Raw genomic sequence first — 22,520 nt, 5'->3', positions numbered from 1 at the left:
GTGCAATCTCGGCTCACTGCAACCTCTGCCTGCCGGGTTCAAGCGATTCTCCTGCCTCAGCTTCCCGAGTAGCTGGGATTATAGGTGCCTGCCACCATGCCCGGCTAATCTTAGTATTTTTAGTAGAGACGGGGTTTCACCATGCTGGCCAGGCTGGTCTCGAACTCCCGACCTCAGGCACTTCACCCACCTCGGCCTCCCAAAGTGCTGGGATTACAGGCGTGAGCCACCGCGCCCAGCCTCTAATTTTATTTCATTTAAACTTCATTTATTTAGAGACAGGGCCTGCTGTGTCGCCCAGGCTGGAGTGCAGTGGCATGATCACAGCTCACTGCAGCCTCAGTCTCCCGGGCTCAAGTGATCCTCTCACCTCAGCCCCTGGAGTAGCTGGGACCACAGGTGTGCACCACCACACTCACCTAATTAAAAAAAAATTTTTTTTGTGGAGATAGGGGTCTCACTATGTTGCATAGGCTGGTCTTGAACTCCTGAGCTCAAGCAATCCTCCTGCCTAGGCCTCCCAAAGTGCTGGGATTACAGGTGTGAGCTGCCACCTCAGCCATTTAATTTTTTTTTTTTTTGAGACGGAGTCTTGCTCTGTTGCCCAGGCTGGAATTTAGTGGCGTGATCGATCTCAGGTCACTGCAACCTCTATCTCCCGGGTTCAAGCAATTCTGCTGCCTCAGCCTCCCGAGTAGCTGGGACTACAGGTATGCACCACCATGTCCGGCTAATTTTTGTATTTTTACCAGAAGTGGGGCTTCGCCATGTTGCCCAGGCTTGTCTTTAACTCCTAAACTCAAGTGACCCTCCTGCCTCAGGCCCCCAAAGTGTTGGGATTACAGGTGTGAGCCGCCGTGCCTGGCCCCCAGACATTTAAATTTAAGGAGTCCCATATTGGCTGGGCACGGTGGCTCATGCCTATAATCCCAGAACTTTGGAAGGCTGAGGCAGGAGGATCACTTGAGTTCAGGAGTTCAAGACAAGCCTGGGCAATGTGGTGAAACCCCGTCTCTACCAAAAATACAAAAACAGCCCGGTGTGGTGGCCTGAGTCTGTGGTCCCAGCTACTCAGGAGGCTGGGGTGGAAGAATCGCTTGAGCCTGGTAGGTGGGGGTTGCAGTGAGCTGAGATGGCACCACTGTACTTCATCCTGGGTGACAGAGTGAGACTCCAGAATCACATATGGCTAGTGGCTATGGTATCAGACAGTACAGCTCTATATAGAAAACATAGAGACACCAGAGGTCTCCCATGTCAAAGACATGTCTACTCTTGGGACAGTGTTGCAATAAAAAAGGTATCATCTTAAAAAGTTTGAGAGATCTAAATAAATTTAAGCCTTTTTTTTTTTTTTGCTAATGAGGTGAAAGAGTATCAATTCCCTTAAAAAATTTAACCACCAGGCAAAGGTCTTTTTGCAAAGAAAAATTTGGAGTGTTTTAAAAATAAGAGTTTTTTTTTCTAAAAATTGTATCCTATTAAATAAAAATTTAACTACAAAAATAAAAAGGTTTTGGGGATTGTGGAAATAATATATTCAGAGGGATTATAGTTATAAATGACATAAGAATTTGGATTGATCTGAATACTCTCTTTCTTGCTAAATCAAGCCTTCTTTCATCTGTCAGGGTTTTCCTGAGAAATGAAGCAGTAAAACTCTGCAGCAATAACTTGGATATATGTTAGTTGGGCTATACCAGTGGTTCTCGGCCTTAGTGGTACATTGGAATCATCTGGGCTATACCAGTGGTTCTCGGCCTTAGTGGTACATTAGAATAATCCGGGCTATTCCAGTGGTTCTCGGCCTTAGTGGTACATTGGAATCATCTGGGCATCTTTACTAAAACACTGGTGCCTGGGCCCCATCCCCAGAAATTCTCATTGAATTCTATCCATGCTGAGCCCAGACCAAACTTCCTAGGTGACTTTACTCACTAATTACTGAGCTAACTCATCACCACCAGGTGATTCTAATATCCAGCCAGGGCTGACAGCCACAGGCCCGGCTAGTTTTTGTATTTTTTGTAGAGAGGGGGTTTTTCATGTTGCCCAGGTTAGTCTCAAACTCCTGAGCTCAAGCGATCCTCCCACCTTGCCCTCCCAAAGTGCTGGGATTCCAGGCATGAGCCACAGCACCCGGCCTCTGTTTTTCTTTTGTAAATTACCCAGTCTGTGGTATTCTGTCACCGCAACAGAAAGCAAACTAAGACAGGTGGTTGATGATGCAGAAGAGCATCTACTTTTTCTAGCTTCAGGAAAAGAGAGCGTACGTCCCTCCTTCTCATCTTTAAGATTCTTTCACCAGGCATCAGAAGAGCAGGGCCTGCAGTTTTCAGGGGTGAGTGCTTGAATCCCATCAACAAGCACTGAGGAGGGGGATGGAAGCAAGCTGAGAAGCGGAAGACTTCAAATATATATATATATTTAAAGGGCAGAGAGGAGTATTAACAAGTGGAGTATGGGGCCTGCAATATTTTGCATTTGCAGTGTAGACCTGTTAGTTCACAGCTGTCTGGTCAGCTGCCCCATTTATCCATGGAGTTTGAGGCTTCCATGCTGTTTCCATCACAGACTTCTCACCCAGAAAGCTGCAGGGACTCTATGACTAGACACACCAGGATACACCAGTCTTTTTTTTTTTTTTGAGACAGAGTCTCGCTCTGTCATCCAGGCTGGAGTGCAGTGGCATGATCTTGGCTCACTGCAACCTCCACCTCCTGGGTTCCAGCGATTCTCCTGCCTCAGCCTCCCAAGTAGCTGGGATTACAGGCATGCGCCACCATGCTCGGCTAATTTTTGTATTTTTAGTAGAGACGGCTGGCCTGGCTGGTCTTGAACTCCTGACCTCAGGCGATCTGCCCGCCTCAGCCTCCCAAAGTGCTGGGATTACAGGCCTGAGCCACCACACCCAGCCTAGGGTATGCCACTCTTTAAGGATCTGTCCTGATGAGCTGTCACAGCTTCTTTGGATAAGCCTGCTTCTGTGGCTTCAACCTCTTATGATCAGACAAGACTTCCGTAGGTTGACTTGGCCACTGCCTGTTGTAGCTCAAGCACATTTCTTCCCGTCAGCTTCTATGGAGACAGCGAGCAACCATTTGGGTCCTTGCAATCATAAACAAGCTGTTTTTAAATCATCAGTGAATGAAGGGGGACATCACACACCGGGGCCTGTTGTGGGGTGGGGGGAGGGGGGAGGGATAGCATTAGGAGATATACCTAATGTAAATGACGAGTTAATGGGTGCAGCACAACAACATGGCACATGTATACATATGTAACAAACCTGCACGTTGTGCACATGTACCCTAGAACTTCAAGTATAATAATAAAACAATACTAGGCAATAATTAAAAGTTTCCAACGATTGATATAGCCACGAATGTGGAGGAATTTAAAATCTTTTTCTCAATGAAAGAAGACTTACACAGCTAGATGAATCTCTAAATGGGCAAAACTAATTTATGTTCAAAGAAATCTGAACCTTGATCATCTGAGGGGTTGTGGTGTATAAGATTTGACTGTAAGGGGGCCCCAGTGAACTTAATGGTATATTGGAAACACTCATTTTTTTTTAGAAATATGAGTTTCAGCCATGTACATATTTTTCAAAACACGTCAAACTGTAACATTTAAGATCTCTGCGTTTAATCTAAACATATCTCAATTTCAAAAATGAAAAAAAAAAAAGAAAAGGAGAAGCCTAAAAATTAAACTCCAGGACAACCAATAAGTTATAGAAGAGGAGAAATGTGATCATTGTTCTCGACACTGCTTTGTTGTGAATAATACTAACAAAGGTAAAATAATGAAAATACAAAATATCAACTTAAAAAAAATTATCAGTGAAATTCTTCCCAAGTCAAGAGCCAAGAACCTACAGCTGCTGTAACTTTTTTCTTTTTTTCCTTTTTTGAAGAGATGAGGTCTTACTCTGTCATCCAGCCTGGAGTGCACTGGGGTGATTATAGCTCACTGCAGCCTCAAACTCCTGAACTCAAGCCATTTTCCTGCCTCAGCTTCTCCGGTGGCTGGGACTACAGGCATGTGTCACCCTCTCCAGCTAATTTTTAATCGATTTTCAGAGTTGGGGGATAGTTATGTGGTCCAGGCTGGTCTCAAACTCCTGGGCCGAAGCGATCCTCCAACGTCGGCCTTAGGAGCAGCTGGGATTACAGGTGTGAGCCCCCACACCCACCTTCCTATAACTTTTCTTACTACTAATAAAAATAATCTCCATTCTCCAAGTGCCTGCTCTGTGTCAGCCACTGTACTAAGTACTTTACACACACTGTTTCATTTCACCCTTCAGTAGTCCTATGAAGTAGGTAGCATTATTCTCATTTTACTGGTTAAGAAACTGAGGTTTAGGCCAGGCACGGCGGCTCACACCTGTAATCCCAGCACTTTGGAAGGCTGAGGCGGGTGGATCACTTGAGGTCAGGAGTTTGAGACCAGCCCCGCCAACAAGGTGAAACCACATCTCTACTAAAAATACAAAAATTAGCCGGGTGTGGTGGCACACGCCTGTAATCCCAGCTACTTGAAAGGCTGAGGCAGGAGAATAGCTTGAACCCGGGAGGTGGAGGTTGCAGTGAGCCAAGATCACTCCACCGTGCTCCAGCCTGGACAACAGAGTGGGCTAGGTCTCAAAAAAAAAAAAAAAAAAAAAAACCAAACTGAGGTTTAGAGAGATGAAATGTTTTTCCCAGCATGAAAATCCGAAGTGTCAGAGGCTGAGGTCAGCCCGGGCCCTGCTGGCTCTCTCGTTACGCTCTTCACGGCCTTGCTGTTTCTGCGGTGGCTTGAAGGAGGGGAAGTCAGAGAGGGGCCAGGCTGCAGTCGTTTCTCTGCGGTACATGAGGGTGAGGGCTCTGAAAACCATCCTCATGGGTGACTACTAAGATAGTCAGGCTGTGGGATCATCCCACTTGCTTCAGCCTAGACCTTCCTGTCCACGAAACTGCACACATTTGTGAGCACTCGCCACGTGGCTGCCGTGAACGCCCGTGGACATCGGGACATGGCAGTGACCCAAACAGAAAAAACCCCCACTCCCAATGGCATTTTAGAGGGGGGACAGACAATTAACAAGGTTAGTAAGTACAGCATATGTTATTTACTTGTTTATTTATTTAGAGGCAAAATCTTGCTCTGTTGCCCAGGCTGGAGTGCAATGGCATGATCTCGGCTCACTGCAACCTCCACCTCCCAGGTTCAAGTGATTCTCTTGCCTCAGCCTCCCAAATAGTTGGGATTACAGGCACCTGCCACCATGCCTGGCTAATTTTTGTATTTTTAGTAGAGACGGGATTTCACCATGTTGGCTAGGCCGGTCTTGAACTCCTGACCTGAAGTGATCTGTGTCTTGGCCTCCCAAAGTGCTAGGATTACAAGTGTGAGCCATTGCACCCAGCCACATATAGTATGTTTGATGGCAGTAGTGCTAAGGAGAAAAAAATAGCAGGCAGGGTGAGTAGGAAAAGCTGGAGAAGGGTGAGCCTTTTTAGAGCAGCCTGTCTGGGGTCAGAGCAGCCCAGGCAGACAGAGTGGAAAGGACCAGCCCTAAAGCCTGGCGTGTGCTCAAGGGGGTCAGTGTGGCTGCAGCACAGGGGATGGGGGTCAGCAGGGAAGAGCGCGGAGAGATAAGAGGCAGAGTCAGCTAGGGGCTGCAGGCCCACGCTAAGGTCTACAGCTTTTCTCTAACTGAAAATGCATTTAGAGAAGGCTTTTAAGGAGGGGAGTGACAGAATTGAATCAGATCTTTCTGAAAACTGCTGAGAGTAGGTTGCAACGGGGTGAAGACAGAGCCGTGGGGCCTGTTAGGACACTACTGAAGTAACCCAGGTGAGGAATGATGGTGGCAGTGGGGGAGATGGAAAGGAATTGGGTTTGGATGTATTTTGAAGGTATTGCCAACAAGACTTCCTAATGAGCTGGCTGTGTGGGGTGAGAGAATGCAAACTGAGGAATGTCTTTGGTCTGAGCAACTAGAAGAATAAAGTTGCCTTGAACTGAAATGGGGAGACTGCCAAAAGGCTGGCTGAGTGGAGAACTGGGAGCTCTGTGAGGCTGGAGATGCCCATCGTCTAATGGCAGTGGGTAGGTGGGTGTGGAGCTCAGGGGAAAGGGTCTTCCTGATGATAAAAATTAGAGAATCAGGCTGGGAGCAGTGGCTCATGCCTGTAATCCCAGCACTTTGGGAGGTCGAGGCAGGCAAATCACTTGAGGTCAGGAGTTCGAGACCAGCCTGGCCAACATGGTGAAACCCCATCTCTACAAAAATACAAAAATTAGCCGGGCATGGTGGCAGGTGCCTGTAATCCCAGCTACTTGGGCCACTTGGCAGGCTGAGGCAGGAGAATCACTTGAACCTGGGAGGCGGAGGTTGCAGTGAGCTGAGATCATGCCACTGCACTCCAGCTTGGGCGACAGAGTGAGACTCCATCTCCAAAAAAAATTAGAGAATCATCGTTATATCCATCATATCCATCTACACCTATCAGATATGCAGTATTTAAAGCCATAAGACAAGCTGAGATTTCCTCAGCATTGAGTATAGGTATGCAAGAGAACGTCCGAGGATTGAGCCCTGGAGCACACTGACAGTTAGAGGTCAAGGATAGGAAAAAGACAAACAAGGCCGGGCGCGGCGGCTCATGCCTGTAATCCCAGCACTTTAGTCAAGGATAGGAGGATAGGAAAAAAACCAACAAGGCCAGGCGCGGCGGCTCACACTTGTAATCCCAGCACTTTAGTCAAGGATAGGAAAAAGAACCAACAAGGCCGGGCGCGGCAGCTCACGCCTGTAATCCTAGCACTTTAGGAGGCTGAGGTGGGGGGATGGCTTGAGGCCAGCTTGGGCAACATATCGAGACCTCATCTCTATTAAACATTTAAAAATTAGCCAGGTGTGGTGGTGGGCACCTGTGGTCCCAGCTACTCGGGAGGCCGAAGTGGGAGGATCACTTTAGCCTGGGAGGTCAAGGCTGCAGTGAGCTTTGATTGGGCCACTGCTCTCCATCCTGGGTGACAAGGCAAGATCTTGTCTCAAAACCACCACCACCACCACCAACAAAACCAACAAAAGTGCTTGAGAGACGGTGTCTAGAAAGGCAGGAGGAGAACCAGGAGTGGGCAGCATCCTGGAAACCGAGAGAAGAAGGCGGTTCAAGGAGGAGACAGCGTCAGTTGCATGTCATGTCACCAACGGGTCAAGCAAGAAGAGGGCCGACAGGTGACCATGGAATTCACCAGTGACCTGAACACTGATTTAGTGGCATGGTGGGGGCAAAAGTCCAGCTGTGGTGAATTCGAGTGAGGACCGGAGGAGAGAAATCAGAGGCAGAGAGAAGAAGAGTGTCCTCCATTCTTTCAAGGAGTTTTGTTGTGAAAGAAGGTAGAGAAGTGGAGTGGAAGCTGGAGGGGGAAGTGAAGTGAAGAGAGCTGTTTTTTCTTTTCTTCTTAAGATGGGAGAAATACAGTATGTTTATGAGCTGATGGGATTAATTCAATCGAGAAGGAAAATGCGGAGGTGCAGGAGAGAGAAGACAGAGCGGCAGGAGAGATGTCCGCGAGTGGGCCGCAGGGGCTGGGATCCCATCCCACGGAGGGGCAGGTGGGGGCAGGGCAGCTCACCCACGCCGCGGGGAGAAGGCTGAGTGCTCAGACACAGACACGGGGGGTGGGTGGGCGCGCTGGTGAGAGCACGTAGGAGCTCTTTTCTGGTGGCTGCGATGTTCTTGGTGGCATAGGAAGCAAAGTTGCTGAGAGGGAGGAGGGGGAGGAGGTGTTGAAGGTGTAGAGAGAGAGGAGAAGGTATGAAATCATCACCTGGGAGAGTGGGAGAGAGGAGACGAGAGAAGTGTGATACGTTTGTGGAGCATCAGTCAGGGCCCACTGGATTTTGTCAGCAATGCAAAGGGTGAACAGAGGCTGACTGAGTTTGTTCTCCAGCCATGGGGCGATGCAGGCCCAGAGCGGCTGGAGAGTTCCATTTAACCAGGGGTGTGATTTCATCAGAGAGAACCTCAAAGCGAGAAAGAGGTGAAGAAGTCGGAGGGTATAAGCAGATGAATGACCGTCATGATTGGATCAGGAGGGAGGGGAGGACGTGGGGGCTGGGGGACAGTGAGAAGGTGGTGAGGTCTCTATAGGGCAGGACTGTAGGTCTTGGTGGCTCACAGGATTGCTGGAATTGGGGGGCCGAGGGAGTAAGCTGGACAGATAGAGGACATGGTCAGGAGTGGTTGGAGAGCGGGTGTAGGCGCTGTAGGTCTGGATAATGATGAGGTTAAGGGTATGACTCTGGGTGGCTGAGAACAGAGGGGTGGAGGTTCTGGGCCTGGGCAGCCTCAGGCTACACTGACTGGTGCTTCTGTGGGCACTTCGGTCCTCCTGGAGAGCCTCTATGAGCGTCATGCTCTCTGTGTGTAGGTGCCAGCAGCTTTGCTTGGGGAAGGGACCCCACAGGTGCCATTGGGGCATAAAGGACAAGAAAGACAGATGAGAGAGAGGGGAGAGGGGCAAAACAAACAATCTGGTTTACATTGAGCACCCCATTTATAATTCCCCTGCTTCACTGTGTCTTCCATTCTGTAACCACAGGCCATCGATGGCTGGTTCTTGAGTGAACGAGTCATCTACTCCATGAGACATTTTGTGTGAGTGTGCAGCCCTGAAGCACAACCAGGCTGGAAGCCCGGCCCCACTGCAGGACCCTATGCCTAGAAAACGAGCTTTCCCTTTCCTTGAATTGAGTTCGCTGGGTTTGTTTCATGCTAGTAACTTGTGGGTGGGGAGCCAAGAGGGTGTGTCCTGTCCCAGGATAGGCAGCTGAGGAGGGTGTGTTTTGGGGGGCAGGATAGATAGGTTTAACCCCGCTGGCCACCACCCCATTAGAGCAGCTGAGGTGAGCTTCTCGTGTCTGCTGGAATCCTCAGTTTGCCTGGGTGTCCTCCAAAGCTATCCCTCCCTGGGGACCTGCAGACCTGGGCAGCTCCTAACTCCACCTGGGAGTCAGCCATGCTGTCTCCTGCATGGTACAAACATCTCTGTAAGTGACTGTGCTCTTTGCCATAAAAGAAAGTCTAGTGCTCTCACTGTGTTAGCATTTGACCACCCACCCTCCATCTTCCTGCTGTGATAACCATGCGGGGTGGTGTCCACCAAGCTGAAGAGGGATTTGATTTACTTGACTTGATATCAAGAGGCACTGTACTTTGGGAAGTCACTTACCTCTCTTGGGCCTAGGTTTCCCGATCTGTAGAAATGAGTAATAATTTATGTTTTTCTATAAAGCTGCTAAGAAGCTCAAATGAGATATTTATGAAAGTGCTTTGTAAACTGTACGCTGTAAAAACAAGTTACCTGTTATTGTCTTATCTTTGTAGAAATAACAGCAAATAAGTACAAGAAAGATGAGAGCGAGAGAGAGAGAGACCGTGAGCGCAAGAATTACACCCGGTATGGAAGACGACTCTAAATAATGTAAGTCTTAGAGGAGCCAGCCATCCTAGAGCAGATTCCCATAAAAATCAAACCAGGAAAAAATAAAGAAGAGAAGTTAAAGTTCATTGCTGGAAAACCATGTTTTTCTTTGAGCCCCTGTGGGAGGAGGTTATTATTTTAGTGCAGGAAGAGGACTATAATTCAGTTCTCCCAATCAGAGCCTTCTGATGCGTTACCATGATTCACAGGCTATGACTCACACATTAGAATTCTCACTAGTACATTACCAATAGTTTATATTCCTTAAAAAGGAGGTAAGATGAAGAAGAGCGATTACATAATTGTTTTTATTTCAGCTTATACCTTGGGTTTATCTGACATGAAATTTCACAAAGAGGAAGTTTCTCTCCACTTGCAAAGAAAAAAAAACTCATTACTTTATTCAGAAATCACATTTCCAAAATGCTTGTTAACCTCAGTACTTTTGCTGTCACACTTGGTAAACTACTGTGAAGGAAATTAATTTCTTTTGTTATTATTATTATTTTATTTGAGACAGAGTCTTGCTCTGTTGCCCAGGCTGGAGTGCAGTGGCACAATCTCTGCTCACTGCAACCTCCACCTCCCAGGTTCAAGTGATTCTCCTGTCTCAGCCTCCCAAGTAGCTGGGATTACAGGCGCCTGCCACCACGCTTGGCTAATTTTTTGTATTTTTAGTAGAGACAGGGTTTCACTATGTAGGCCAGGCCGGTCTTGAACTCCTGACCTTGTGATCCACCTGCCTTGGCCTCCCAAAGTGTTGGGATTACAGGTGTGAGCCACCGTGCCCAGCTGTTATTATTTTTTTTTTTAAGAAACTGGGTCTTACTCTGTCACCTAGGCTGGAGTGCAGTGTTGTGATCGTAGCTCACTGTAACCTCAAACTCCCAGGCTCAAGCAATCCTCCTGCCTTAGCCTCCTGAGTAGCTGGGACTGCAGGCACACACCACCCCAGCTGGCTGATTTATTTATTTATTTAGATTTTTGTGGAGACAGAGGTGTCGCTTTGTTGCCCAGGCTGGTCTTGAACTCTTGGCTTCAAGCAATCCTCTTGCCTCAGCCTCCAAAAGCGCTGGGATTACAGGGGTAAGCCACTGCACCTGGCCAGAAATTAATTTTTTTTTTCTTTTTTTTTTTTGAGATGGAGTCTTGCTCTGTTGCCCAGGCTGGAGTGCAGTGGCACGCAATCTCGGCTCACTGCAACCTCCACCTCTCAGGTTCAAGCGATTCTCCTGCTTCAGCCTCCCGAGTAGCTGAACTTACAGGCACGCGCCACCATACCCAGCTAATTTTTGTATTTTTAGTAGAGACAGCATTTCACCATGTTGGCCAGGCTAGCCTCAAGTGATCCACCCGCATGGTACTCCCTAAGTGCTGGGATTATAGGCGTGAGTCACCACTCCTGGTTCAGAAATTAATTTTTCTAAGGTCAGCAATACAAATAAATCAGTGTGAAACACCCTAACCCATAAGATTTCTTCACTATCAATAGCCATTCTAAAACACATTTATTAGATATTTTTGAATTATGTTATTGTGAATTATATTTTTCAAAATTAAAAAAATCCACCAGTTCATCAAAACACAAGTAAATACTCTCTTTTCTACCACCCACTCATGTCCATCAAAAAGATCAATCAAATCTAATATAAACATCAAGCCAGATACACCAAAGTTATTAGAATGGCTGGGTGTGGTGGCTTATGCCTGTGCTTTGGGAGGCTGAGGTGGGAGGATCACTTGAGCCCAGGAATTTGAGACAAGCCTGGGCAACAGAGCAAGACCCCATCTCTACAAAATACACAAAAATTAGCTGGGCATGGTGGTGCATGCCTGTGGTCCCAGATACTCAGGAGGCTGAGGTAGGAGGATCACTTGAGACTGAGAGGTCGAGGCTGCAGTGAGCTATAATTGTGCCATTGCACTCCAGCCTGGGCAACAGAGCAATGAACATTTTATTTATTCCATTTCATTGATGTCAAGCTCACATAATCACAAATATTCTAATCTGGGAGATTCAAAACCTGTTGATGATCTGAACGTTGTCTAGATTCTATTTAAATGTCTCCTGCGGGCTGTAAAGCTACACACTTCCCGTGGAATAAAGACGTTTACGTGCTTTTTGAGTTAAACCACTTTGACTGCATTAGGCCAGGTCTACACTGACTTCACAGGATATTGAAATGATGATGATGATGAATGTTTATTACTTACCTGAGTAACTAAAGTGGTTTAGGCACTTTGCATGTATGTTTTTTATTTATTTATTTATGTTTTTGAGACATAGTCTCACTCTGTCGCTCAGGCTAGAGTGCCGTGGTGCAAACCCAGCTCACTGCCACCTCAACCTCCTGGGCTAAAGCAATCTTCCCACCTTACGCTCCCAAGTAGCTGAGACTACTGGTGCGCACCACCACGCCCAGCTAATTTTTTTTTTTTTTTTTTTTTTTTTTTTTGAGACAAAGTCTCGCTCTGTTGCCCAGGCTGAAGTGCAGTGGCACGATCTCGGCTCACTGTAACCTCCACCTCTCAGGTTCCAGCGATTCTCCTGCCTCAGCCTCCCAAGTAGCTGGGATTACAGGTATGCGCCATCATGTCTGCTAATTTTTGTATTTTTTAGTAGAGATGGGGTTTCACCATATTGGCCAGGCTGGTCTCAAACTCCTGACTTCATGATCTGCCCACCTCGGCCTCCCACAGTGCTGGGATTACAGGCGTGAGCCATCACACATGGCCCCGGCTAATTTTTTATTAGTAATTTTTTGTAGAGATTGTGTCTCACTATGTTGCCTAGGCTGGTTTTGAAATCCTGGGCTCAAGAAATCCTTTCGCCTTAGCCTTCCAAAGTGCAGATTACAGTCATGAGCTACCATGCCCAGCCTCATATACACATTTTAATTCATCCCTCAATACTGAGTTTGAGAAAACAGCCTCAAAGAGGTTAAATCATCTACCAATGGTTACTCAGCAAGTGGGTGGCTGAGCCGGAATCCTAAACCATGTCAATCTTTTCCCATCATATGACACAATGCCTAAATAAACGTTCTACCAAATGAAAGGCGAAGCTCAATGTGAAGAATTTTAACAAGGCACTGGATTCAGATCAAAATTTTAATTTGGAGCCCAAATCATTTAGATCAGTTCTCTGCCTTGGCTAACCTAATCGGTGGATCTCTACTTCAATGGGTGCCAGAGGATTGGGTCTCAACGAATATGCACTTGAAAAAACTAGAAGGAAAAAAAGTCCTTTGGGCAACATGTCTTCAAAAAAATCAACCAAAACTCCCTTTGGGGCTGTGGTTTTCCCACAGAATCAGAGAGGAATCAGGTCTTATATCAGTTTCTTGCTGCCCAGAAATTTCAAAGCAACAATGTTCAGAAGGAGACTCTGAGAAAGCACGACAGCAACAAAAATGGAAGGAACCAATGGCTGCAAGGTTCTTGCATGATGTGACCTCGGCTAGGTCATCTTTTCCTAGATCGATAGGTTTGGCACCTGCTGTGATTGGACTGGGCTCCTGTGCTTTTGGCAATAAGGGTCCCATAGCCAGAACTCACTGTTGTCCTTCCTTTCAGGAACTTCTCTTGAGGCAAAAGAGATGCCCCTCGAACTAACTGAGCTTTAACTTAATGGAACCCAGACAGGAGCTGCATGATCCAACTTCCTATCCAGGGATTCTGAGAGGCTGAACAATTCTAGCCAAGAAAACGTAAGCTTGTTGGAAGGAATTTATAGCAGTGTTATCTCCTAAGACATTCCACATGCCCACTCCCATCACCCCAGTAAAATATGTTGAATTGCCGGGTATGGTGGCTCATGCCTGTAATCCCAGCACTTTGGGAGGCTGAGGCAGGCAGATTGCTTGAGGCCACAAGTTTGAGACCAGCCTGGGAAACAGAGAAACCCGTCTGCCGAGACCAGCTTGGTTGTGGATACCCTAACCCAGTGGCACTAGAGGAATTAAAGACACACACACAGAAATATAGGGTGTGGAGTGGGAAATCAGGGGTCTCACAGCCTCCAGAGCTGAGAGCCCCAAACAGAGATTTACCCACATATTTATTGACAGCAAGCCAGTGATAAGCATTGTTTCTATAGATTATAGATTAACTAAAAGTATTCCTTAATGGAAACAAAGGGATGGGCTGAAACGAAGGGATGGGTCTGGCTAGTTATCTGCAGCAGGAGCATGTCCTTAAGGCACAGATCACTCATGCTATTGTTTGTGGCTTAAGAAGGCCTTTAAGCGGTTTTCTGCCCTGGGTGGGCCGGGTGTTCCTTGCCCTCATTCCGGTAAACCCATAACCTTCAGCATGGGCGTCATGGCCATCAAGAATATGTCACAGTGCTGCAGAGATTTTGTTTATGCCCAGTTTTGGGGCCAGTTTATGGCCAGATTTGGGGGCCTGTTCCTAACACCCATCTCTACTAAAATTACAAAAATTAGCCAGGCATTGTAGTACACACCTGTAATCCCAGATACTTGGGAGGCTGAGGCAGGAGAGTCACTTGAACTCAGGAGGTGGAGGTTGCAGTGAGCCGAGATCGCACCACTGCACTCCAGCCTGGGTGACAGAGCAAGACTCTGTCTCAATAAACAAACAAACAAACAAATAAATAATGTTGAATTGAAGCATAGTATACATTGAGAAAAGGGCATAAATCCCTAGTGGATAGCTCCATAAATTTTCACAAGGTGAACATACCTGTATAACCAACATCAAATCAGGAAATAAGACATTACCAATAACCAGAAGCCATTCAAGCCCCTTCTCTTTCTCTCCAGAGCAGACACTCTCCTGACTTTGTTACAGAATATATTAATTTTGCCTGAGTTTATATTTTATATAATTGGAATTCAATGTTGTACCTTGTGATGGTTAATTTTATGTGTCAATTTGACTGGGCCACAGGGAGCCCAGACATTTGGTTAAACCTTATTCCGTGTGTCTGTAAGGGTGTTTGTGGATGTGATTGACATTTGAATTGGTGGACTGAATAAAGCAGATTGCCCTTCCCAATGTTGGTGGGCCTCATCCAATCAGCTGAAGGCCTAAATATAACAAAAGGCTACTCCTCCCAAGAGTCAAAAAATTCCTCCTGCCTGATTGACTGTTTGTCCTGCCTTTGGACTCAGACTAAAACATCAGCTCTTCCTGGGTCTTGAGCCTACCAAACATTGGATCAAATCTTCATCATTGGCTGGGTATGGTGGCTCATGCCTGTAATCTCAGCACTTTGAGAGGCTGAGGCGGGTGGATCACCTGAGTTCATGAGTTCAAGACCAGCCTGGCCAACATGGTGAAACCCCATCTCTACTAAAAATACAAAAATTAGCCGGGTGTGGTGGCATATGCCTGTAGTCCCAGCTACTTGGGAGGCTGAGGCAGGAGAATCTCAGCCTCAGGAGGCGGAGGTTGCGGTGAGCTGAGATCATGCCACTGCACTCCAGCCTGGGCGACAGAGCGAGACTCTGTCTCAAAAAAACCCCCCAAAAACCAAAAACAAAAAACTTCACTAACAACTCTCCTGAGTCTCCAGCTTGCCAGCTGCAGATCTTGGGACTTCTTGACCTCCATAATTGTGTGAGCCAATTCCTTATAAAAAATCTCTTTATACATCTATTACTATGGTTTGAATATTTGTCCCCTTCTGAAACTTACATTGAAATTTAACCCCCAATGTGGCAGTATTGAGAAGTGGGGACTTTAAGAGGTGATTGGGTCATGAGAACTCTGCCTTCATGAATGGATTAGCCAGGCGTGGTGGTGGGTGCCTGTAGTCCCAGCTACTTGGGAGGCTGAGGCAGGAGAATTGCTTGAACCCAGGAGGCGGAGGTTGCAGTGAGCCGAGATCGCACCACTGCACTCCAGCCTGGGCGACAAGAGCAAAACTTTGTCTCAAAAATAAATAAATACAAATAAAAAAATAAATTACCCAGTTTTAGGTATTCTGTTCTAAGCAACAAAAAAATGGACTGAAACATCTATACCTATATCCATTCCCTATTAGTTCTGTTTCTCTGGAGAACACTAATACATACCCTGCTTGCTTTTACATTTTTACTTAATGTAATGAACAAAGTCTGCATTTATTAACAGACTTGAACTGAGCACCTACAGTATCTGGAGTACTTACCAAGCATCTGTCATGTCTTATAAATGAAATGTTTATTTTCTCCAGGATTATAATATTGATGAAATCAAAGCATCTAGAAGACCGTGCATTCCATTTTTAATCTAGCTGAGATGGCATAATTCATACCTCCTCAAATTTGGACAATTATAAATGACTCAACCAGCGAGTGCCAAATTCCACCTACACCCTGAGTATACCTGAAGCAACCACCGAAACCCAAGCTAATCGCCAGATGTATGCTCACTGAGTGGGTAACTTACCTAACCTTGAGGTGAGCTAAGAACCAAACACACTCACAGTTTAAAAAGAATGTTTTGGAAGTGGATTTTATTTTATTTATTTTTAGTTTTAGTTTTTTTGAGATGGAGTCTCACTCTGTCACCCAGGCTGGAGCTCAATGGCGTGGTCTCGGCTCACTGCAACCTTCACCTCCTGAGTTCAAGCGATTTTCCTGCCTCAGCCTCCTGAGTAGCTAGGACTACAGGCGCATGCTACCACACCTGGCTAATTTTTGTATTTTCAGTAGAGACTAGGTTTTACTATGTTGGCCAAGCTGGTCTCGAACTCCTGACCTCATGATTTGCCAGCTTCTGCCTCCCAGAGTGCTGGGATTACAAGCATGAGCCACCACACCCAGCCTGAAGTGGATTTTATGAATAAAGACTTTGTGGCTACCTGTTATCCTACAGAGTCTGATGTGGCCTTCACTTTAATACTTCCTCAAATAGATAGTAGTGAGATGGAAGAGGCAGGAGAAATATACATCTGGGGTCAGTGAGCCACCACACGCATTTCCATGATAATTCTCCATACTGGCCAATTGATCAATCATATATTGGAATATAATCCAAATGCTAGTCAAGGCCTCCGTGTCCATCTGGCTCCTGTTTGCATCTATCTCAAAACCTCACATTACCCTCCATAGAAATCTTGGCCCCTTCACTGGTTTCCACCAGAAATCCACCTAGACAGCTGTTTTTTGAGTTTTAATAGAATTTTACTCAGGGTTTGGGGGTACAGGCATCTCATTTTAATACAATGTACAGCATCCCTGTCTCATTTCTTATTCTCTTTTTGCTTTTCCTTTTTCTCACAAGCTCCATAAAGTACTCTCCTGATCTTCTGGCGAATAATTCAGCAAACGTCTTTCGTTGCTTGAGAATGCCCTGGGAGGCCTCCTTCTTATCCTCAGTAAGCTTGTCAGCATGTTTCTTCCAAGCACATATAGCACTTCCCCAGAGAGATCTAACAAAATAAAAAGTTTCCTCTTCTCATTATAACTTGAGTGATAACATGATTTCTATTGCTCAGCGTTAGTCTAGGCCCAGGGAGATATATAGGAGAATAGAAGATGATTCCTATCCTCAAGGCATTTAGAGTCCATGGAGAGATAATTACTAAGCATGAAATAGTTGGAAAATGCTTCAGTACCAGGCTATGTGGTAATGTCCATGCACTGGGCATTGAGAATAGTGCCAGGTCAGCTCAGCTCAGCCAGGGGAAAACCATCTTCAGGTGGGTGTGTGGGATGGGTTGAATTTGGTTTGGCTGCGTGGTGGGAGGAGAACAGTTCCGGGTAAGGGCACAGCATCAACAAAGTCATGAGTGTGGCAAGAAGGAGTGTGAGTGTGAGTACTGATGAGAAATAAACCTGGTTGAGAGAATGGAGTGAAATTATGAAGGGCCCTGAAAGCCAGACAGAGACGTGGACTGTGGGACCAGTGATAATGGAGATTCCCCAGCAAGTTCCTTGAGCAGAAAGTGACACACAGAAAAAATTGTCTGACAGCTGCGTACAGGATAAACTGGAGGGGAAAAGGGAGACCATCTGTTACAACCAAGCACTCAGACTGACATGTGGGTGTTTGGGATTAGGAGGGAAATGGGAAGGGAGATTGAAAGGTGAATCTGCTGGCCGGGCGTGGTGGCTCATGCCTATAATCCCAGCACTTTGGGAGGCGGAGGTGGGTGGATCACCTGAGGTCAGGAGTTCGAGACCAGCCTGACCAACATGGAGAAACCCTGTCTCTACTAAAAATACAAAAATTAGCCGGGCGTGGTGGTGCATGCCTGTAATCCCAGCTACTTAGGAGGCTGAGGCAGGAGAATCACTTCAATCCGGGAGGTCCACCTTATTGGTTGCAGTGAGCCAAGATCGCACCATTGCCCTCCAGCCTGGGCAACAAGAGCAAAACTTTATTTCAAAAAAAAAAAAAAAAAGGTGAATGCAAAAAACTTAAGCTTCACTGATCTGTAATTGGTCACAGGAATAAAGGAAAGGGGGAATGACTTGAGGGAGGCAGCCCCTCTCTGGATTCCAAGCCCTGCTTGGGATCAGAGGGCAGTGGCAGGAGGTGAAGGCTAAAGGTGCTTTTTAGTCTGGATGTTTGCGTTTCCCTCTGCATCCCTCCCTTCCTCTCCCGCTGTCATTCTCTCATCTTCTGTGTTCATTCTTACCGGGACATCTATACATGCCTCCCAGGTACAGCCCCCTGAGGTTCTGCTTAGCGAGGGATGAAGGGCTACCAATGACCCAGCAATAAATAGTAAGTGAATTTGTCTTGCATCGTGCCTGCAGGGGAATCTTTTCTAAGTTATTTAGAACCTTGAATTGTTCACTCTAAGGAAGGGCTTCTTAACCTGAGGACTATGGATAGATTGCAAGAGATCCATGGAGTTAGATAGGAAATTTACTAACCTTGAACTGAAATTGAGCATTATTATAAATCCAGGCAACAAACCACAGTAGCATTATCAGTCCCAGTGACTTGGTCACCATCAATGGAAATCACAGACATTTTTATATCATGTTACGGTTGTTTCAGAGAGCATGAACTATCTTCTGCACTTATTACTACTTTGCAATTTTAACAGTGAAACGAGACCTCCCACTTTATCTTGTTATTGAATGTGGTAATTTCTCACAAATATATGATTGATCAGAAATTTTAAAAATACTTTGGCCAGGTGAGGTGGCTCACATCTGTAATCCCAGCACATTGGGAGGGCAAGGTGGGAGGATCACTTGAGGCCAGGAGTTTGAGACCAGACTGAACAACACAGTGAGATCCCATTTCTACAAGAACTGAAAAGATTAGCTGGGTGTGATGGCACATGCCTGTAATCCTAGCTACTTGGGAGGCTGAGGTGGAAGGACTGCTGAAGCGATGATTGCACCACTGCACTCCAGCCTGGACAAGAGTGAGACCCTGTCTCAAAAAAAGAAAAAAAAAAGAAGGAAGGAAGGAAGGAAAAGAAAGGAGGAAAGAAAACGGGAAGGAGGCAGAGCAAGACGGCTGAATAGAAGCCTCCCAATTGTCCTCCCCACAGGAACGTCAAATTTGACAACTATCTACACACACACACACACACACACACACACACACACACACACACACACCCCTTCATAAGAATCAAAAATAAGGTGAGCAATCACAGTACCTGGTTTTAACTTCACATTGCTGAAGGAGATACTGAAGAGGGTAGGAAAGATAGTCTTGAACTGCTGACTCCACCCCTCCCCAATCTCCTAACAGTGGCCGTGAGGCACAAAAAGAGAACCTGTGTGCTTGGGGGAGGGAGAGCGCAGTGACTGGGGGACTTTGCATTGGAACTCAGTGCTGCCCCATCACAACACAAAGTAAAATCAGGCACAACTCAGCCAGCAACGGAGGCAGCATTTAGATCAGCCCTAGCCACAGGGGACTTGCCCATCCCAATGGTGGAAAGCCGACTTTTGGCAAATCTCGCCACCATGGGCTAAAGTGCTCTAGGATCCTAAATAAATGTGAAAGGCAGTCTAGGCCACAAGGACTACAACTCCTAGGCAAGTCCTAGTGCTGTGCTGGGCTTGGAACCAGTGGACTTGGGGGCACATGGCCTACAGAGACACAAGCCTGGGCAGCTAAGGGAGAGCTTGTGCCACTTATCCCCCGACCTCAGGCAGCACAGTTCACAGCTCTGAAAGAGACTTCTTCCTCCTGCTTGAGGAGAGGAGAGGGAACTTGGAAACCAGCTCAGCCACAGTAGCACAGGGCACAAGGTAGAGTCATGAGGCCTCCATTCCAGGCCCTAGCTCCTGGACTACATTTCTAGACATACCCTGGGCCAGAAGGGAAACTGCTGCCTTGATGGGAAGGACACAGTCCTGGCAGAATGCATCACCTGCTGACTAAGGAGCCCTTAGACCCTGAATAATCAGCAGCAATACCCAGGGAGTATGTCATGGGCCTTGGGTGAGATTCTGAGACGTGCTGGCTTCAGGCATGACCCAGCACATTTCTAACTGTGGTGGCTATAAAGAGGGACTACTTTTGCTTGAGAAAAGGAGAGGGAAGGGTAAAGGGGACTTTGTCAAAACCAGGCAGAACTCAGCCTAGGTATAATCTCAGCCACAGTGGGGTGTAGCACCAAGTGGGCTCTTGGGGCCCCTAATTCTAGGCCTTGGCATTTGGATGGCATTGCTGGATCTACCCTAGGCCAGAGGGGAGCCCACTTCCATGAAGGATGAGTCCTAGGCCTGGCAGCATTCACTACCAGCTGACTGAAGAGCCCTAGGCTTTAAGTGAGCATTGGTGGTAGCCAGGCTGTACTCCCCCTGGGTCCACGGTGGTGGTGGCCATGAGGAGAGAATCCTCTGCCTGTGGAGAGGGGAGAGAAGACTGGGAAGGACTTTGTCTTGTAGTTCGAGTGCCAGCACAGCTACAATAGGATAGAACACCAGGTAGGTTCCTAAAGTTTCTGACTCCAGGTCCTGGCTCCCAGATAGCATCTCTGGACCCACCTAGCACCTGGGGGAACTTGCCGCTCTGAAGGGAAGAGCACAAGCCTGGCTTCACCACCCACTGACTGTAGAGCCTTAGGGCCTTGAGCAAACACAGGTCGTAGCCAGGCGGTGGTTATAGCAGGCCACGGGTGGGACCCAGAGCTGCGCTGGCTTCAGGTCTGACCTGGTGCAGTCACAGTAGTGGTGGCCACAGGGGTGCTTGTGTCACCACTTCCCCAGCTCCAGGCAGCTCAGCACAGAGAGAGACTCTGTTTGTTTGGGAGAAAGGTAAGGAAAGAGAACAAGAGTCTCTGCATGGTAATCTAGATAATTCTTCCAGATCTTATATTCAGTACCACCAAGGCAGTACCTCTAAGAGTCTGTGGTTACCTCTAAGAGTAACCACAGTGTTACTGGGCTTGGGGGGCCCCTAAGGCAGATATGGCTGTAGTGACCAAAAGCTTAGATCACAACACTCAAGTCCCATCTGATATGCACAAAGCCTTCCTAAGAAGGACAGGTACAAACAAGCCCAGACAGTGAAGATTATAATAAATACTAACTCTTCAATGCCCAGATACCAATGAACATCCACAGGCATCACGACCCTGCAGGAAAACATGCCCTCACCAAATGAGCTACATAAGGAACCAGAGACCCATCCTGAAGAAGCAGAGATATTTGACTTTTTGGACACAGAATTCAAAACAGCTGTTTTGAGGAAACTCAAAGAAATTCAAGAGAACACAGAGAAGGGATTCAGAATTCTATCAGATAAATTTAACAAAGAATTGAAATAATTAAAAAGAATCAAGCAGAGATTCCGGACCGGAAAAATGCAACTGGCAAACTAAAGAATGCATTAGAGTCCTTTAATAGCAGAATTAATCAAGCAGAAGAAAGGATTAGTGAGCTCGAACACAGGCTATTTGAAAATATACAGACAGAGGAAACAAAAGAAAAAAAGACTGAAAAACAATGAAGCACACTTAAAAGGACCTAGAAAATACCTCTGAAAGGACAAGTCTAAGACTTATTGGCCTTAAAGAGGAGGCAGAGAGAGAGAGATGGGGTAGAAAGTTAATTCAAAGGGATAAAAACAGAGAACTTCCTAAACCTAGAGAAAGATATTGATATCCAAGTACAAGAAGGTTATAGAACACCAAAGAAGACGACCTCAAGGCATTGAATCATCAAACTCCCAAAGGTCAAGGAAAAAGAAAGGATCCTAAAAGCAGCAAGAGAAAAGAAACAAATAACATACAATGGAGCTCCAATACATCTGGCAGCAGACTTTTTAGTGGAAACCTTACAGGCCAGGAGAGAGTGGCATGATATATTTAAAGTGCTGAATAGGCTGGATGCAGTGGCTCACGCCTGTAATCCCAGCACTTGGGAGGCTGGGGGGTGCGGATCACCTGAGGTCAGGAGTTAGAGACCAGCCTGACCAACATGGAGAAATCCCATCTCTACTAAAAATACAAAATTATCCAGGCGTGGTGGCATACGCCTGTAATCCCAGCTACTTGGAAGGCTGAGGCAGGAGAATTGCTTGAACCTGGGAGATGGAGGTTGCAATGAGTTGAGATCAAGCCATTGCACTCCAGCCTGGGCAACAGGAGTGAAACTCTGTCTCAAAAAATAAAAAATAAAAATAAAGTGCTGAAGGATAAAAGAGTTTTATCCTAGAATAGTATATTTGATGAAAATATCCTTCAAACGTGAAGAAGAAATAAAATATAATCCCAGTACTTTGGGAGGCCGAGGTGGGCAGAACACGAGGTCAAGAGATGGAGACCATCCTGGACAACATGGTGAAACCCTGTCTCTACTAAAAAATACAAAAATTAGCCGGGCATGGTGGCACGCGTAGTCCTAGCTACTCGGGAGGCTGAGGCAGGAAAATCACTTGAACCAGGGGGCAGAAGTTGCAGTGAGCTGAGATCGCACTACTGCACTCCAGCCTCATGACAGAGTGAGACTCTGTCACAAAAAAAAAAAAAAAATGAAAGAATTGAAAGAATATCAAGTATTTTCTCTGACCACAATGAAGTAAAACTAGAAGTCAACGACAGGAGGAATTTTAGACACTATACAAACATATGGAAATTAAACAGTATGGTC

The 22,520-nt window shown here is 46.4% G+C and overlaps 1 long non-coding RNA gene across 1 annotated transcript in view; it reads left to right on the top strand.

Annotated features, from left to right (window-relative positions):
* LOC107985372 (uncharacterized) overlaps positions 1 to 16,976 on the top strand; it is a 32,508-nt gene extending 15,532 nt beyond the window's left edge. Inside the window, exons 2-5 of the long non-coding RNA XR_001738568.1 lie at positions 9,396 to 9,492; positions 13,069 to 13,202; positions 15,677 to 15,902; positions 16,729 to 16,976. This is a non-coding gene — a long non-coding RNA (uncharacterized LOC107985372). The remainder of the gene's footprint in view (positions 1 to 9,395; positions 9,493 to 13,068; positions 13,203 to 15,676; positions 15,903 to 16,728) is intronic.
* The last annotated feature ends 5,544 nt before the right edge of the window (positions 16,977 to 22,520 follow it).

The sequence above is a fragment of the Homo sapiens genome, chromosome 1, assembly GCF_000001405.40.
Source record: "Homo sapiens chromosome 1, GRCh38.p14 Primary Assembly".
In the NCBI taxonomy this organism is placed as follows: Eukaryota; Metazoa; Chordata; class Mammalia; order Primates; family Hominidae; genus Homo; species Homo sapiens.
The sequence above is the reverse complement of the archived record's forward strand: the minus strand, read 5'-3'. Positions and strand labels throughout refer to the sequence as shown.